The 14,527-nt window shown below is 45.2% G+C and overlaps 3 annotated features.

Moving 5' to 3' along the window:
- Positions 1,692–2,248: an enhancer, noted in NCBI's record as "H3K4me1 hESC enhancer chr3:5264003-5264559 (GRCh37/hg19 assembly coordinates)". NCBI's record gives its function as "activates a minimal SCP1, AML or CMV promoter by ChIP-STARR-seq in naive H9 embryonic stem cells {active_cell/tissue: H9 hESC(naive)}" and the evidence as "EXISTENCE:reporter gene assay evidence [ECO:0000049][PMID:30033119]".
- Positions 2,249–2,804: an enhancer, noted in NCBI's record as "H3K4me1 hESC enhancer chr3:5264560-5265115 (GRCh37/hg19 assembly coordinates)". NCBI's record gives its function as "activates a minimal SCP1, AML or CMV promoter by ChIP-STARR-seq in naive H9 embryonic stem cells {active_cell/tissue: H9 hESC(naive)}" and the evidence as "EXISTENCE:reporter gene assay evidence [ECO:0000049][PMID:30033119]".
- Positions 11,848–12,357: an enhancer, noted in NCBI's record as "NANOG hESC enhancer chr3:5274159-5274668 (GRCh37/hg19 assembly coordinates)". NCBI's record gives its function as "activates a minimal SCP1, AML or CMV promoter by ChIP-STARR-seq in naive H9 embryonic stem cells {active_cell/tissue: H9 hESC(naive)}" and the evidence as "EXISTENCE:reporter gene assay evidence [ECO:0000049][PMID:30033119]".

Raw genomic sequence — 14,527 nt, forward strand, 5'->3', positions numbered from 1 at the left:
TGGGTTCAACTGATTCTCCTGTCTCAGCCTCCCTGAGTAGCTGGGACTACAGGCACGTGTCACGACACCAGGCTCATTTTTGTATTTTTAGTAGCGACGGGGTTTCACCATGTTGGCCAGGCTGGTGTCAAACACCTCACCTCAGGTGATCTGCCCATCTTGGCCTCCCAAAGTGCTGGGGTTACAGGCATGAGCCACCACGCCTGATGGGCCTTTTTAAAGGCCACGAAGCATGACAGGGCGAAGGAGAGACTCTCAAGGCTGGAAACACCTTGCCCACATTGAGCTCTACTATTGTGAGGGGTGGTGGGGTTGTGTTTGTCAAGTCTTGTGGGTTTGTGATCTTGACAAAACCAAGCAAGTCCAGTGGGCCAAGGGACCAAATCAAGAGCCACAGGGTTCTTGCCTTCCTGCCTTTCCCACTCCAGGCTGCCTCAGTAGTGGGAGCACCAGGCCCTTTGCCATCTGTGGAGCAAGTGGAGCCCAGCAGTCCTGTATGAACGCTGTAGTCAGTGTCGGGTGGAGTATGGGGACTCTGGGCCACACGGTGCTGGGTACAATTCCAACTCTACCCCTAACTTAGCTGTGTGCCTTGGGCAAGTTACAGACTTGATGGCCTCAGTTTTCCTGTCTAGTAAATGGGTTGATAATAATAGCCCATACTCAGGATAGTTGTGAGGACTGGGTGGATTCATATGTGTAAGGCACTTAACGTGTTTCCTATAATTATGGTCCAGCTGGATTTGACATCCAGGATCAGACCTAGGGCTTAAACAGGGATGCTGGAGGAAGAGTAAGAACATGGCTGGCCATGGGGAGGCTGGGCTGGCCTCCTGGCTTTGTCCTGGATGTGTGGCTTGGGTCAAGGCACTCACCTTCACACGGTGTCCTCACTTTTAAAATCAGAGATGATAGCACATCAACTCCTAGGGTTCCCGTGATGGCAAAATGAATTAGAAGCTACATTTGTCAGCGTGTGAGGCGGCAGCTGCTAAAATGTTTACAGGTTATGTCTCTTTGTCCCTTAAAGTTTTTTTTTCCTTCTTTAATCAAGGAAGTATGCTAATGTCTTCCTAACTCAGAAACCCAGACCAGGAGGTGCAGAGTGGTTGGGTGTGGTGGTACCTGTGCCCCAGCACACCTGGTCTTTGTGCTTAAGCGTCTGGCCCAGTCTGCTAGTCAGTGGCCTAAAGAATGAACAGTCCCTCCCCACTCTGGCTCTGTGTGTGTGTGTGTGTGTGTGTGTGTGTGTGTGTCTGTCTATGTGCTTGTGTGCACTCACGTGCATGTGTGTATGGTTTAAAAGCCTGTTACATTCAAACCTCACCCAAGTCCTGAGCGGTAAATTCTATGATTCCATTTCTCCAGCAGAGAACCCTGGAAAGTAAACAATCTTGCTTCCTGTCACAGCGGAACCCACTGGAAGCAACAGCCTGACGCTCTCTTTTAGATGCCGTCAACCTTAAATGATGAAATTCAGAAAATATGATGAAGTATATTAGATATATGATTAAGAGTTTATTAGATCCCAAAGCCGGGAATAACCGGTTACCCAGGGAACACAGACTCCAGAAAAATGGGGTCAATGCTCCCAAGTTAGAAGTTAAGGTCTTGCTTACATAGGTAGAAGACAAAGATATCTAGTAGGATTAAAACATATTCCGTACGAGGATGGTTTACGAGTTAACAACAGTTTTGTTACAGTTTTGTTTATTTTCTGTACAGCTTGTTTTCATGTCCTTTCCAATTTAAGAGTCCATTTAACATTCCTTCTTGAGACAGTGTGATAGTCATGAGGTCTTTGTGTGAGAAAGGGAAGAGGGAAGTTAATCTATAGTGAAGATCAACAGTGAAGAAGGAAGGAGTCTTCCCTGGTGCCCTTTAGTCACTTCTTACAAAGCAATGTAGGTAAGGAAGAAGGCTAATCTATAGTCAGAAAAATAAAGGTTACAGATGCCTGAACTCAGGTCCCATAATCACATTTCCTTAAGGCTTGAAATATTTAAAAGTTCCAACAGCTTAAATTTGAATTACTTATTTTCACGGTGCCATTGTGAATGGTTTGGTTCTAGCCCCCGTATGAAGAGAAGGGATGTCGCTGTCTCTCCCCAGAGGGAGTAGCTCGACCTTTGGTCAGAGACGCAAGTAGACCCTCCCCAGGGCTGGAGGGGCGAGGCTGGGACTGGGCTGCGCGCCTGCTTCTGGCTTGCCAGGAGCCCAGCACCAGGTCCTCTGCAGCTGCCAGGGATGAAGACCCCAGAAGGCACACTGTGAATGCCCTTTCTCCACAATTCAGAATATTCTCTCTGCCTGTGTCGGCGGGTAGGAAGAAGGCTACTTTTGGGGACCTACACTGCCCCACACCACAGAGAGCTCCTCTTTAAAGAGCTTGCTTCTCAAACATCCACCTTTTCAAGGTAAAGTCTCTCATCGTGGGGAGCTTTGAAGACGCTCTGCTGCACGGCTGGGTGCCCTTCAATGATGGGCTCGTCAAATTCTCGAAGAAAATGACCTGATCATTTGAAAAGCTTAACGCCTGCTTAATAAGGCACCAAAAAGGAACAAGAGCCAGTTGCCATCGTTAGAAAACCTATCTGGACCACCCTAAACTGATTTTGGGGGGTAAATACTGACATTTTAAAATAAAACTTTAACCCTTTTAAATATATCCATTGAAATCTGTAAACCGTCATAATTTGTTACCCGCCATCATCTATTAAAGAATATATTCCAATTTATTTATTGGGAATTTTAGATTGTCTCTTTTTCTGCTTGAATTAGTATTTACATTTCTTCCTCCCCACAGAATTTTATACCGATTTAATATATTTCAATTCTATAAAATCCTTAACAATTTTCTGTGTTCATAAGTTTCTAAGTATTAAAAAAGTCTTTGGAATTGAGCTGACATTACAATTAGTTGTATAAACAACATATATATTTTGATAGTTATTAACAAAAATTTATTAGAAAAGTTTCCCTTTGTTAAATGACAGTTTTGTTTTTCCACCTCTTTAATTGAATTGTATGGCTGTGGATGAATACTGCTTACTGTTGGAATGAGATGGGTTTCAGCATGAATTATATTCCTTTTTTTTTTTTTTTTTTTTTTTTTTTGAGACAGGGTCTTCCTTTGTTGCCCAGGCTAGAGTGCAGTGGAGAAACCATAGCTCACTGCAGCCTTGAACTCCTGGGCTCAAGCAGTCCTTCTGCCTCAGCCTCCCAAGTAGCTGGGACTACAGGTGCGCACCACCATGCCCGGCTAATTTTTGTATTTTTTTGTAGGGATAGGGGCTTGCCATGTTGCCCAGGCTGGTCTCAAACTCCTGGGCTCAAGCAATCCTCCTGCCTCAGCCCTCCAAAGTACTGGGATTACAGGCATAAGCCACTGTGCCTGGCCCTTATTTTTTATTTTATGGATGTAATGTATTCACACAAATAAGTGCACGGAAATAGAGTTTTTATTGTAGATATTACATATGGATATCTATACATAGATATAAATGTCTTAATTGTATGTCTGAATAATGTCAAAATTTACATAATACTTTATCATAAGAACTCGTTTTTGAGAATTCTGTGCTGATAAATTAGGCTCTCTTTCAATTTTGTTGTAAGCAGACTTGGAAAACACTGACTTGCAAAAAGGTAGGTATTCAGCTATTAGAGTCATTCATTTTTGCAGTTTCTGGAACATATTCCAGAAAGCCCCTCCAAAACATACCAAATGATTATTCATTGTACCTGTTGTTTTATTTAGAGAGGCTCAGGTAACCTGAAACACTCAGAAAGTGCTGGGAAATTTAAAAATACAGTTGACCCTTGAGCAACACTTAGGGATGCCAACCCCTGCTCAGTGGAAAATTCGTGTTAACTTTTGACTCAACTTAATCACTAATAGCCTACTGTTGACTGGAAGCCTTACCAATAATAAAACAGTCAGCTAGTACATATTTTGTAGGTCATATATATTATATATTGTATTTATATGATATAGTAAGCTAGAGAAAAGAAAGTGTTACTTTAAAAATCATAAGGAAGAGAAAGAATATGTACTATTCATAAGTGGAAATGGATCATCATAGAGGTCTTCATCCTCATCTTCACGTTGAGTAGGCTGAGGAGGGGGAGGAAGTGGAGGGGTTGGCCTTGCTGTCTCAGGAGTGGCAGAGGTGGAAGGGATCACACAGTGTGTCTGTGTGTGTGTGTGTGTGTGTGTGTGTGTGTGCATGGATGTGTTTAGCCAGGGTCTCCCACTGTCCCCAAGGCTGGAGTACAATGGTGCCATCTTGGCTCATGGTAACCTCTGCCTCCCGGGCTTAAGTGAGCCTCCTGCCTTGGCCTCCAAAATTGCTGGAATTACAGGTGTGAGCCACCACGCCCGGCCTACCAGTATTTTAAGCAGATATATGCAACACTTGAACCCACCACATTAGCAATAGGAGGTGGCTATAAAATTATTACAGTAGTTCAGCATGTACTACAGTTAATTTATGCAGTTATGGTTTAATACTGCATCTTTACATTTAATTACATAAATGTACAGTGTGTTCATGTAAGTTTTAATACCTTTTAACTATAATAAATTCACATGTGTTTTATGGTAATAAATGATAAAATAGACTAGTAGCTACATATATTTGATGCATTTATGACATATCTTCTTCTTAAATGTTTTCAATATTTCTAGCCTACGTGATTTGTCTTTTTCAATTTGTCAAAAATCCCCCCCCAAATTTTCCAGTGTAGTTATTGAAAAGATCTGTGTATTAAGTGGGCCCACGCAGTTCAAACCCATGCTGTACAAGGGTCTACTGTACTATTAACTTCAACACATCTCTGAGAGTAGTTTTTTAAAGTGCCTTTATCTTGTCACCTCCTTTAACTATATTTGCAACAAAAGCTCAGAGCTGTAGCTCTAGCTCATTCAATTTAGAGAGTGTATCCATCGTATAACTTAATTGGCTAAGCCAGTCCTTGTTTTCCAGCCAATCAACCCTATCAGCCTTATTTGTTGAAATAAAGATAAAAAAAGTCTGATCTAATGCTAATAGACTGAGCGGAGGAGCCCAGCAAGGCCTGTCTGTCTTGATTCTTCTTGACTTCTCTATGCATCATTGCTTTCCTTCTGGGTGTGGGACAGGACCCTCTCTGGAATGGGGGTCTTAGGACCTGCAGTCAAAGAAGGTAGGTCAGGTAATTTTTTAAAATGTATTTATTATTATTATTATTATTATTATTTTTTTTTTTTTTTTTTTTGTAGAGACAGGATCTCACTATGTCATCCAGGCTAATCTCAAACTCTTGGCCTCAGGCAATCCTCCCATCTTGGCCTCCCAAAACTCTGGGATTACAGGGTTAGCCACTGCAGCCAGCCAGATAATTTTTTTATTTCTTTTTAAAAGTATTTATATTTTAAAAGTTTATTTAGAGATGGGATCTCACTATGTTGCCCAGGGTGGTCTTGAACTCCTAGGCTCAAGCAATCCTGCTGCCTCAGCCTCCCAAAGTGCTGGGATTACAGGCATGAGCCACTGCGCCTGGCCCAGATAATTTCTTTATGGCCAGTTTTTACATAGAAAGGCGGAGAGAAAGTTAGAGTAATATTTTTAAGTTTTATGGCTGGCTTTGGGGAAAGAGGGTTCTGGTTTCTATGGCCTGCCTTGGAAAAGAGGGATTCTAGTTTCTACGGCTAGCCTTGGCAAGGGCAGTGGAACTGAGAGAAGGGAGGGCAAGAGAAGGTCAGAGAAAAACTTTTGCTTCTGAGGCCTTCATTTTTGGGGTATTGTTTTCAGAGCCCCAACAGTAGTGTTTAATGAAAACACAATGATGTGCGCCACACAATGCCAGCGGGACTTGCTGGACCCCCGAATCTCAAAGACTACGTCCTGAACACCTGCTCGGGCTCGCCTGGGTGGCTTGGAGAGCACAGAGTAGGAAGCTGCCGGCCAACAGGAAAAATAAAACTTTTCCTGCTCCCAAGGAAAGGCTCCTAAATATAGGCTAAGATTTTATGCGTGCATTTCCATAAGCCATCCACTCTGAAAATGGGCCGTTTTCCACCAATGGGCATCAAATTCCCGTGGGATGATTGCAGTTAACAATAATATATAGCATCACATAGCTGGATGGAAGCTATTGAGCTTTCCCAACACAAAGAAATGGTAAATGTTTGAGATGATGGATATGCCGATTACCCTGATCTGATTACTATACATTATGTGCGTCAAAACGTCATTATATACCCCATGAATATGTACAATTATTGTCAATTTAAAAAGTCCTTTGCCATTTAGTTTATAAAAAATGGTTGCAAATACTGCTCACTTCCACAAGAGACCACTATTGCTTCACTTTTTCCAAAGATGCCTTTTAAAAAAGCAGTTTGAAAAACCCAGTGGTACAGAAAAAGAAAATAGTGTTGTATGTTTTGTTTTGAGATGGAGTTTCACTCTTGTCGTCCAGGCTGGAGTGCAACGGTGATCTCAGCTCACTTGCCACTTCCGCCTCCTGGGTTCAAGTGATTCTCCTGCCTCAGCCTCCTGAATAGCTGAGATAACAGGCACCCGCCACCATGCCCAGCTAATTTTTGTATTTTTAGTAGAGATGGGGTTTCACCATGTTGGCCAGGCTGGTCTTGAACTCCTGACTTCAGGTAATCTGCCCACCTTGACCTCCCAAAGTGCTGGGATTATAGGCTTGAGCCACCATGCCCAGCCGTGTTGTATGTTTTAAAGACAGTGCGTAGAAATGTAATTTCATGGTCCTCAGGATCTTGTTTCTAAATCTTGGCTTGTGCAGCTAATTGAAACATGAGTAATAGTGATGACCACAATGATGACATTGTGTATCTCTATAGGGGCTTAGTCCCAAGATCATAGCTCTTTCATATGTATTACACAGTTAACACAATTGGCCAGGCATGGTGGCTCACACCTGTAATCCCAGCATTTTGGGAGGCTGAGGCAGGAGGATTGAGCCCAGGAGCTTGAGGCTGCAGTGAGCTGCGATCATACCACTGCACCCCAGCCTGGGAGATAGAGGCAGCCCCTGTCTCTAAAACAAAACAACAAGCAAACAAAAAAAGACTCACAATTCTGTGATGTCTCAGTATTCTCATTTTCCAGAGAATAAAACTGAGCTTCAGGGAAATGCCACCAATTGCATAGTTGAGTCGTGATATTTCAGCACCAAGGATGAGTAAGGAGAGGGAGAAATGGAGACCTATTATTTGGGAAGAGCACCTTCCTCGGCATTGAGTGGTTTAATTTTCATCCCATGAAGCTGCTTTCAGCCTGATATGAAATCAGGTTGAAGATAAAGCTTGGGAAGATGCCCAGCGTCTCTCAGCACTCACAGAATGTTGCACAATTGGGAGTTTCCCGAGACGAAAGCTCCTGCAGCCTCTCCTCCCTGCAGCCTCTCATCACTAGCTTCTACCCTGGATGTTGGCAGCTTCCGGTCCGGTGGAGCCTCATCTCCTAGAGCCTCCTACTAGTTCCCACCCTGCCTGCAGTTTCCATTAACCCATTTGGCAGAGAGAAGGCAGGATTTGGAGTCAATGTTTTAGATTTAAATCTGGACTGTGCTCATTAGCTGGGTGAATTAGTAAACCTCTCTGAGTCTCAGTTTCCTCATCTGTAAATGGGGCTAATTCTAGCTATTTCACAGGGTTTTGTGGGAGATTCAAGCAACCAAGTGTATCAAGGGCCTCGCGTGTGGTGGATGGGTCTACTGAGCAAATCCTTTTTCCCTTTCTTCCTCCTTCGCCCTCTGATCAGCTGCCTCTGTGGTCATTATTCCTAGTTCTGACAGCACTTCACAGAACACTTGTTTCTGACCTATCGGGTTCTGGCACAACCCTATGGTCCTTGGGGGCAGTGGCTGGCATGATTGCTAAACAATTGCTGGATGGCTTGGACAGAATCTACATTGAACTGTCTCCCGGGGGTGAGGGATGGGGGTTCTGAAGTGAGTGGTCAAAGGATCACAGTTTGAGAACCACAGCCTTGGGAGTTTGCTAGGGGAACCTGCACCAAAGGCTTACCTTCGGGGATAGATTTAATCACAATTTAATTTCATTTGCAAATCTGGCCCCTCTAGGTGGCTCCCTGCTGCACCTTCCTAAGGACCCTCTGCCATTCAGTAGCTGCTGTATCACCTTGGGAATAACTACTAGGAGATGCTGTCTTTGACAGCAGAAAGGCTCAGTTCTCAAACTATGGTTCCTGGAGCTACAGCAGCAGTGGTGGCAACTCTTGGGCCCCACCCAACATTGAATGGGAAACTCTGAGATGGGACCCAGCAACCTGCGCTGTAACAAGCACTCCAGGTGATTCCTCGGGCCAGTGGCAGACACCCTCCTAACCCTGACAGATCTTGGAATCTAGTCTCTTCCAACCTTAGGCTGGTAGGGGTAAGGGTGGGTGTGGGGGTTCTGCTCCACTCTTCTGAGTGTGCAGGCGGTGAACATTTATTAAGCACCTACTAGGTGTGCTGACCGCTGATCACTCATTGTCGCATCTATCTTGCCCTGTCAACTAAACCATATATTTATAGTTGAGAGGTAGATTGGTGTTTGATATGGTTTGGATCTGTGTTCCCGCCCACATCTCATGTAGAATTGTAATTCCTAGTGTTGGAGGAGGGGCCGTGGGAGGTGAAAGGATAATGGGGTGGTTTCTCATGGGTTAACACCGTCCCTCTTGGTGCTATCATTGTGATAATGAGTGAGTTCTAATGAGATCTGGTTGTTTGAAAGTGTGTGGCACCTCCCCTCTCTTTCCCTTCCTCCTGCTCAGGTCATGTGAAGTGCTGGCTTCCCCTTCACCTTCCGCCATGATTGTAAGTTTCCTGAGGCCTCCCTAGAAGCTGAGCAGAGGCCACCTTGCTTCCTGTGCAGCCTGTGGAACGGTGAGCCAATTAAACTTCTTTTCTTTATAAATTACTCAGCCTCAGGTATTTATTTATAGCAGTCCCAGAATGACCTAATGCAGTGTTTCTGATTCATTCATTCTTTTATTCAACTAATACTAAACAGTATTATGTGCCAGGTATTCTGGGTACTGGGGATATAGTGATGAGTTATGCCTTCACAGAAATAAATACATGCAGAAATAAATAAATGAATAAATGCATGCAGAAATGAATGAATGAGTACATGCATAAATGAATGAAAATACATGAAGAAATGAATGAAAAAATAAATACCTGCTATAATGCTAGAGTGGCAATAGCTTTGAGGGCAAAGCAGAACCAGAGGATAGAATGTTCGGTGTGGGAGAGGGGAATGCGCAAAGAGAAGAGGGGGCCACTTGCTTTTTCTTGGATGATATAAAGGATGAATCTCTGTTTGCCCTTTAGTGCTTGCTCTGAGAAAAGCACCTTGATTTTCTTCCCACCCCGTCAATTCAAAAGTTTCCACCCTCCTTACCCCTACAGTTTTAGGGATAGGCACATGGCCCATTTCTGGCCAATCAAAGCATTCATCTCTCTGCCTCTAGCAGTGAATGCTTCTGCACTGGGCACGAGTTGCCTAAAGGAGATTCAATCCCGGGGCTTTTCCTAGACACTACTGAAAAGAGAGAAAAGAAAAACCTCTCTTCATAACTGCTGATGTCACTGGGCTGCAAGGCTTGGGGCTTGGGGTTTCTGGGGACTACGGAGAGGGAAGAAGCTCCCTGAAAAACAATGCCTACCTAGAGAAAGTGAGGCTGAGAGGAAGAGAGAGTCCTCATTACAGACCCCACTAGATCAGGGGTCCCCAACTCCTGGGCCACAGACTGGTAAGTCATGGTCCCTAGTCTGTTAGGAACTGGGCTGCACAGCAGGAGGTGAGCAGCAGGTGAGCAAGTGAAGCTTCATCTATATTTACAGCCCCTCCCCTTTGCTCGCATTCCCACCTGAGCTCTGCCTCCTCTCAGATCAGTGGCAGCATTAGATTCTCATCCGAGCACAAACCCTATTGTGAATTATGCACGTGAGGGATCTACATTGTGCACTCCTTATAAGAATCTAATGCCTGATGATCTGTCACTGTCTCCCACCACCCCCAGATGGGACTGTCTAGTGCAGGAAGACAAGTTCCGGGCTCCCACTGATTCTACATTATGGCAAGTTGTATAGTTATTTCATTATATATTACAATGTAATAATAATAGAAATAAAGTGCACTATAGATGTTATGTGCTCGAATCATCTCAAAACCACACCCGCCTACCCCCAACCCCTGGGTCTGTGGAAAAATTGTCTTCCACGGAACTGGCCCTGGTGCCAAAAAGGCTGGGGACTGCTGCACTAGATCCAGGCATACCTGAAGCACTGGACTTTTTAGTTTCACGAGCCCATACATTACATTTTCGGCAGAACGTGTTTCAGTCCTTTGAAACGCAAAGGGTCATAATACTAAACCCAGGGAACACGCAATTCAACACCTGCGTCTGCCTCTTTCAGGGTGTCAATTGCCTCCTCTGCAAGAAGGGCTGATTAAGAGGATGCAGGAAAGGGAGAGAACCTGTGAGGCTCTCAGCCCGTGGCCAGCAGTGGGTGTTCGGTAACCAGTGGCTGGATTCCAGAAAATAATAAGCTGTCAAGCTGATTTCTGTTACCTTAGCCTCATGGTGTTCATGTTTTGTGTTTAGGAAACACGTGACTGAGTTCCCAATGACAGGATGAGTGGCTGGTCTATTTTTTCTCTCTATTCTGATACTCCAGATGGTACAGTGCACAAGTGTGCCGAGTAGAGACATTTTTCTTTTTCTCAATGAAATACAATTACATCGAATTCACAGCATTGATGATATTCATTGTCTCAAATCACTGTGTTTTCTGCGGCTGGCTTGAGAGATGTATAATAAGGTACTGATAAGGATTTTCTCTTTCTAAACTAAATTGTGTGCAGATAGATGACACCTTCTTAGGGCAGCACTTTCTCTCATCTCAGAATTACAGAAAAGTCAGTCATTCTGGGGCCAATTTACATTGCTTGTGGGTTTTTTTCCCCACATCCATCAATTTCAGAACAGATTTATATGATGACAGAAGTAAAATTCTCTCAGTGCAGACATCCAAATGATTTGCTTTTAATAATATGCAAAACAGGGGTGGAGATGAGGGAGCAGAGCTGCCAGGCTTGGCTGTGCATAAATGAGCTTCAGATGGAGGAGGCAGGCAGCATTTCCTCCAGCTGAGAACAGCCCAACCCAGATTGCAACCCCGGCAGCCTGAGATGGGGGTGCCGTGGGGTGAGGGCTCTGGAGAAGCAATCAGGACTGACCAGTCCTTAGACTGGGAATCTGCCCAAGTAACAGAAATAGCCCATTTCTGCATTTTAGCCACTTGGAGCAGTTGGTCTCTATCTGTCATGACCATCTTCCCTGTTAGCATCCATCTTGCACCGTGCTTTTTAATCTTTTTTTTTTATTGACTGCCCTCTGGGAGCCTTTTTTATAGTTTTTTTTTCCCCCTAATCCCTTCTAATCTCCCACCAAATTAAAAGATAATTTTCTTAGAGACTGAGTCTCACTGTACTGCTCAGGTTGGCCTTGGACTCCCAGGCTCAAGTGATCCTCTCGTCTCAGCCTCTCAAGTAGCTGGAACTACTTGTGTGCACCACTGCACCATCCCCTTGCCAGGCAGGGTGTCACCGCAGGTGGGGGTGTGCATGCAACTTTCTGGGAGAGTGGGCTTCTGACATTTGAGGACAAGGGGCCACTGTACACCATTAGTGACCAACACTCCTGGTGGGCAGTGTGGGGATGGGGAAGCGTGGGTGCCCTACCAGGAAAGGAGATCTGGGTGAGGCTCAGAGCCTCCCAGCATCACCTTTCTGAGTATCTGTTTTGTTTCTTTTTGGCGATCTGTGAAAAAGTCACTTTCGATCCTGGCTGAGCCCCTGGTTCTGGGGACGTTTTATCTCAAGTTAGGGACCAGAATTTCCTCTAGCTGCTTAACCAGTGCTTCTCTAATATTGGTGAGCTTCAGTCTGTGTTTACATGAGGCAAGCTTTCTAAATGTTTAATTCTTTTCTCACTGTTTGCATCTGCTGCTTCCGTGTGCTCAGGCCTCTGGCTCAGTGAAGACCATCAGGTGCTTAAAACTTGCTTTGTTCTCTAAGCATTACCAAAGATCATGGGAAAGACCAGGAGAGCTTCCTGCTGGTGGCGGCCTCTGGCTGACAGTTGAAGGTGAAGCAGGCTGTTTCTGCAATAGCTCCAGCGATTCCTTTTACTGGTATTCACGACCTTGTAGAATCCCCTCTTCTGGCGTGTGGGCTGGATTTCAGGGGCTCTCTGTAAGCTCATGTGGACCCTAAGTACAAAACTGGTAGCGTGACTCCTGAGGTCAATGGGTAACCCAGAAGCACAGGAAGGAACTACGACGCTGCCTGCAAGGACTTTTACAGGATGAACCCTTATGAGCAGGTGCTTCTGATGAACAGAATTTGGCAGGAGTGATGGCACGTCCCTTCCAAGTTTAGGATCCAAGACTGTGACTTCTGTCTTGCTGACACTCTTGCTTGCCCTTTTGCTTGCTTGCTGTGATGATGCAAGCTGTCATGATGTGAACTGTCCTGTGGAGAGGTCCACGTGGTGAGGAATGGAAGGAGGCCTCTGGTGAGTACCTGCATCCTGCCATCAACCACCAGCATGAGCCTGGAAGCTGATCCTGCCCTAGTTGATTTTTTTTTTTTTTTTTGAGACAGAGCTGGAGTGCAGTGGTGTGATCTCAGCTCACTGCAGCCTCTGCTTTCTGGGCTCAAGTGATTCTCCTGCCTCAGTGTCCTGAATAGCTGGGACTACAGGCACACGCCACCATGGCTGGCTAATTTTTGTATTTTTAGTAAAGACGGGATTTCACCATGTTGGCCAGGCTGTTCTCAAACTCCTGACCTGAAGTGATTCATCCACCTCAGCCTAGTTGATTCTTAAGATGATTGCAAGCTTGTCAGAGAATCGCAGCCAGGGGATCCAAACAAGTTGCTCCTGAGTTCCTAACACACGGCAACTGTGACATAATCAGTGGTGCTGTTCTAAGCTGCGAAGTTCGTGGGTAATTTGCTGCCCTGCAGTGGATAACTAGCACGAAGAGTTCTGGGAGGTGGAAACAGACAAAGCCTGTATTGTGCTTCTATAAAACTTACTATTATAAGGAAATCATTTTCCCAGGCCATTAAAAACTAGTCATAAATATGATTTTTCATGAATGAATCATAATTTATTTAGCTATTCTCCTATGATTGGCTATCCTGATTGCCGTCTTTATTTTCTGTGATGAATAATGCTACCAAGATTTGTATATAAACTGATCCAGGCCGGGTACGGTGGCTCACGCCTGTAATCCCAGCACTTTAGGAGGCCGAGGCGGGCAGATCACGAGGTCAGGAGATTGAGACCATCCTGGCTAACAAGGTGAAACCCCGTCTCTACTAAAAATACAAAAAATTAGCCGGGCGCGGTGGCAGGCGCCTGTAGTCCCAGCTACTCGGGAGGCTGAGGCAGGAGAATGGCGTGAACCCGAGAGGTGGAGCTTGCAGTGAGCCGAGATTGCGCCACTGCAGTCCGCAGTCCGGCCTGGGCGACAGAGCGAGACTCCGTCTCAAAAAAAAAAAAAATTAGCCAGGTGTTGTGGTGAGCACCTATAGTCCCAGCTACTTGGGAGGCTGAGGCAGGAGAATGGCGTGAACCCAGGAGGCGGAGGCTGCAGTGAGCAGTGATCATGCCACTGCACTCCAGCCTGGGTGACAGAGGGAGACTCCGTCTCAAAAAAAAAAAAAAAAATTAATTAATAAAGGAAGCTCATGCTAGGCCAGGCATGGTGGCTCATGCCTGTGATTCCAGCACTTTGGGTGGCTGAGGCAGGTGGATGGCTTGAGGTCAGGCATTTGAGATCAGCCTGGCTAATATGGTGAAACTGTGTCTCTACTAAAAATATAAAAATTAGCCGGGCATGGTGGCACATGCCTGTAATCCCAGCTACTCAAGAGGCTGAGGCAGGAGACTCACTTGAGCCTAGGAGGCAGATGTTGCAGTGAGCTGAGATTATACCACTGCACTCCAGCCTGGGTGACAGAGGGAGACTCCATCTCAAAAAGAAAAAACAAAAGACAGCTCGTTCTAGACTGAAAACCTTTGGTTCTAGATCACTAAGATGGGTTCATATCTGTCTCTGGATCTGCAGACTCTAACTCAGGGCCTGACATGTAGTTGTGCCCATTTAGTGATTACTAGATGATGGAAAAGCCTGTGGAAATGCTGGATGGGCCTTGTTTCAAGACTTCTTATGTGTGCTTCCAGGAGCGACTGCCCATTGGACAACTACTCCTTTTCAGCCTGTGACTTCTGAACAGTGAGTAGAAATGTGGACTCATACCTCGGCATGCATCTGAATCACCTGGGAGCCTTGTTCAAATGCAGATTCTGGACTCCATTCCCAGGGATTCAGAATCAGCAGATCTGGGGTGGAGCCTGGGAGTCTTCATTTCTAATGAGCACCCTAAGGATGCCATTGCTGCTGGTCTTTAGGCCAC

Source organism: Homo sapiens, chromosome 3 (assembly GCF_000001405.40).
Source record: "Homo sapiens chromosome 3, GRCh38.p14 Primary Assembly".
In the NCBI taxonomy this organism is placed as follows: Eukaryota; Metazoa; Chordata; class Mammalia; order Primates; family Hominidae; genus Homo; species Homo sapiens.